Source organism: Homo sapiens, chromosome 5 (genome assembly GCF_000001405.40).
Source record: "Homo sapiens chromosome 5, GRCh38.p14 Primary Assembly".
Taxonomy (NCBI): Eukaryota; Metazoa; Chordata; class Mammalia; order Primates; family Hominidae; genus Homo; species Homo sapiens.
In genome coordinates, this window is record NC_000005.10 from 85,661,603 (window position 1) to 85,665,878 (window position 4,276).

Below are 4,276 nucleotides of genomic sequence, written 5' to 3' on the forward strand. Positions count from 1 at the left end.
GTTAATATTGTTTTGTGTGAATTTGATCTTGTCATTCTGATGTTAGCTGGTTATTTTGCTCATTAGTTGATGCAGTTTCTTCCTAGTCTCGATGCTCTTTACATTTTGGCATGATTTTGCAGTGGCTGGGACCGGTTGTTCCTTTCCATGTTTAGTGCTTCCTTCAGGAGCTCCTGTAAGGCAGGCCTGGTGGTGACAGAATCTCTCAGCATTTGCTTGTCTGTAAAGGATTTTATTTCTCCTTCACTTATGAAGCTTAGTTTGGCTGGACATGAAATTCTGGGTTGAAAATTATTTACTTTAAGATTGTTGAATATTGGCCCCCACTCTCTTCTGGCTTGTAGGGTTTCTGCCAAGAGATCCACTGTTAGTCTGATGGGCTTCCCTTTGAGGGTAACCCGACCTTTCTCTCTGGTTGCCCTTAACATTTTTTCCTTCATTTCAACTTTGGTGAATCTGACAATTATGTGTCTTGGAGTAGCTCTTCTCGAGGAGTATCTCTGTGGCATTCTCTGTATTTCTTGAATCTGAACGTTGGCCTGCTTTGCTAGATTGGGGAAGTTCTCCTGGATAATATTCTGCAGAGTGTTTTCCAACTTGGTTCCATTCTCCCCATCACTTTCAGGTACACCAATCAGATGTAGATTTGGTCTTTTCACATAGTCCCATATTTCTTGGAGGCTTTGCTCATTTCTTTTTATTCTTTTTTCTCTAAACTTCCCTTCTTGCTTCATTTCATTCATTTCATCTTCCATCGCTGATACCCTTTCTTCTAGATGACTGCATCGGCTCCTGAGGCTTCTGCATTCTTCACGTAGTTCTCGAGCCTTGGTTTTCAGCTCCATCAGCTCCTTTAAGCACTTCTCTGTATTGGTTATTCTAGTTATACATTCTTCTAAATTTTTTTCAAAGTTTTCAACTTCTTTGCCTTTGGTTTGAATGTCCTCCTGTAGCTCAGAGTAATTTGATCGTCTGAAGCCTTCTTCTCTCAGCTCGTCAAAGTCATTCTCCATCCAGCTTTGTTCCGTTGCTGGTGAGGAAGTGCGTTCCTTTGGAGGAGGAGAGGCGCTCTGCTTTTTAGAGTTTCCAGTTTTTCTGCTCTGTTTTTTCCCCATCTTTGTGGTTTTATCTACTTTTGGTCTTTGATGATGGTGATGTACAGATGGGTTTTTGGTGTGGATGTCCTTTCTGTTTGTTAGTTTTCCTTCTAACAGAGAGGACCCTCAGCTGCAGGTCTGTTGGAGTACCCTGCCGTGTGAGGTGTCAGTCTGCCCCCGCTAGGGGGTGCCTCCCAGTCAGGCTGCTCGGGGGTCAGGGGTCAGGGACCCACTTGAGGAGGCAGTCTGCCCGTTCTCAGATCTCCAGCTGCGTGCTGGGAGAACCACTGCTCTCTTCAAAGCTGTCAGACAGGGACACTTAAGTCTGCAGAGGTTACTGCTGTCTTTTTGTTTGTCTGTGCCCTGCCCCCAGAGGTGGAGCCTACAGAGGCAGGCAGGCCTCCTTGAGCTGTGTTGGGCTCCACCCAGTTGGAGCTTCCTGGCTGCTTTGTTTACCTAAGCAAGCCTGGGCAATGGCGGGCGCCCCTCCCCAGTGGCGGGCGCCCCTCCCCCAGCCTCGCTGCCGCCTTGCAGTTTTATCTCAGACTGCTGTGCTAGCAATCAGGGAGACTCCGTGGGCGTAGGACCCTCCGAGCCAGGTGCGGGATATAATCTCGTTGTGGGCTGTTTTTTAAGCCCATCGGAAAAGCGCAGTATTCAGGTGGGAGTGACCCGATTTTCCAGGTGCCGTCCGTCACCCCTTTCTTTGACTCAGAAAGGGAACTTCCTGACCCCTTGCGCTTCCCAAGTGAGGCAGTGCCTCGCCCTGCTTTGGCTCGCACATGGTGCGCGCACCCACTGACCTGTGCCCACTGTCTGGCACTCCCTAGTGAGATGAACCCAGTACCTCAGATGGAAATGCAGAAATCACCCGTCTTCTGTGTCGCTCACGCTGGGAGCTGTAGACCGGAGCTGTTCCTATTCGGCCATCTTGGCTCCTCCGTCAGCTTTACCTTTAAAAACATTATGTTTTTAAGTTTGAAGCTATTTTCGTCTTCTTTCAGAGGCCAAATAGGTGGTTTCAGCATTTTGTTGAAAGCATCTTCCAAAATTGTAAATGTAGAAACACAAGAATGGGCATTTGGCAAAAGTAGCATCAAAAAGCATGTCCCAGAGCGAAAGCCAAGGAGTCTGGCAGACCTGAAGAGGATTTGGGGAAGAAAATAAACACTAGCAATCAGTCCAATTAGATGTAGCTGTAAGGTAAGTGTTTTTGTTGAAGGGGCTATTCGTCTGTGCTTAAACATTTTTTATTTTATTCACATCATATATGTTGTGCAGAAAACCTTATTAGTTGTTCCCACAACAACTGAATATAATGCCACATTTTATGAATGATCCATAAGCCTTAGTAATATTATGAAATAATCTTTAAAATTAAACTTGTGTATTCGTTGTCATTTTGAAAAGAGCATGTTAAAAATTTAATTTATAATGTTGTGTGAATTTTAATCTGATGTGTGAAATTATAGAAACCACATAAAGTCTAAACATAAATAGATTTTGTATGTTACTCTTCCCAAGTAACCTTCATGTAAGGCTAGCCATCTTTATAGTCTACTGAAAACTCTTTTAAAAATTATTTGTGTATGCTACATAACATGCATGTATACATCTGTCTTTGTCATTTGCATTAAAAATTGTTAATATTGTTTATCAATGTGTAATTATTTTACAGGAAGAAGATTTAAATTGTATGGCACTTTGTCTTCTTGATGTTATATAAAAACATACTACCTGAGATGGCTCATACCGGTGTGATTTTCCAGGTAAATTTATAGTCTAGTAATTGGATATTATGAACTGATAAAAATAATGCCAAGATAACTGAAAATATTAATAGATTCTGATCTTTTATTGCCTGTGAAAGTTTGTTAACTTATCAAGTAGATCTGAGAAAATGAGTTTTACAAGCTATATCAACTGATAGTATAAAAATTATTTAATAGATCATCTTTCCTTTATACGTAATATGACTGTATACTGGCTTGATAACTTTTTTTCTTGCTAAGGTAAATTATTCAGGTATTTTAATTTAAAAAAAATTAGATTGATTAATAAAAATGAAGATAAGCAAGGCTTTCTCTTGAATATCAAATTAATTTGAATGTAACATATCAACTCACTGTTACTTAAAAGATAAGAATAAGAAATGTTTTAATGGCAGAGGAAAAATGTCAACAGAGCTTTGATTCAGAGAAGGCTGCAGAATGAATAGTCAGTAGTTAAGTACAAAGCATTAGAAAATTCACAAAAGTAATTGATGCTTTAACAGCCACTCTTTAAGACCTCCTACATGTATCATTATAGTAATAATTAGGATTAGAAACACTAAAGTTTTAGGAGTTTTTCCAAGGGCATTTGACAATTTTTAAGTCAACTGTTAAATACACAAAATTATGTCAATACATTTTCCTTGTTAAAATAATACTGTATACAGCTACAAGTCTCCTTTGTCCACCTGATCCAAGTCTCTTTACCTCTCTCCAGATGTGGCCTCTCTTGACAGTTTAATATGGATTCATAATGTATATGCCTATGTAATGTATCTATGGCTATCATATATACGTATACATTTTTAAATATAAATTATGTCCTTTGTTTCTATCATGGGGCAACTTGATTTGATCACTCTTGTTAGTGTATGTAAATAATGCATTAAACAAACATACAGTTGACCTTTGAATAACATGGGTTTGAACTGTGTAGGTCCAATTCTACCTGGAGTTTTTTCACTAAACATACCGGAAAAATTTTTGGAGATTTGGGACAATTTGGAAAAACTTGGACATAAAATACATAGCCTAGAAATATCAAAAACAATTTTAAAGTTAGGTATGTCATGAATGCATAAAATATATGTAGACACTATAATAGTGTATTTTATCATTGACTACCATAAAATATGCACAATTCTATTATAGAAAGTTAAACATTATCAAAACGTATGCACCCAAACACTTACAGACTGTACATGGCATCATTTGCAGTCAAGATAAATGTAAACAAATTTAAAGATTAAGTATTCAATCCCAATTGCATACAATTAACTGTAGTGTATACTGTACTACTGTAATAAATTTGTAGCCACCTCCCATTACTATTGCAGTAAGCTCAAGTGTTTTCAGCATGCTCTAAAAGCCTCTTATGATGTTCATCACCTCAGAGTGAGCAATTTG

General features: G+C 39.0%; 1 annotated feature.

Moving 5' to 3' along the window:
* Nucleotides 1,410-2,609: an enhancer, noted in NCBI's record as "CDK7 strongly-dependent group 2 enhancer chr5:84958830-84960029 (GRCh37/hg19 assembly coordinates)". NCBI's record gives its function as "activates an origin of replication core promoter dependent on BRD2, BRD4, P300/CBP, MED14 and CDK7 cofactors, with strong dependence on CDK7, by STARR-seq in HCT116 cells {active_cell/tissue: HCT116}" and the evidence as "EXISTENCE:reporter gene assay evidence [ECO:0000049][PMID:35650434]".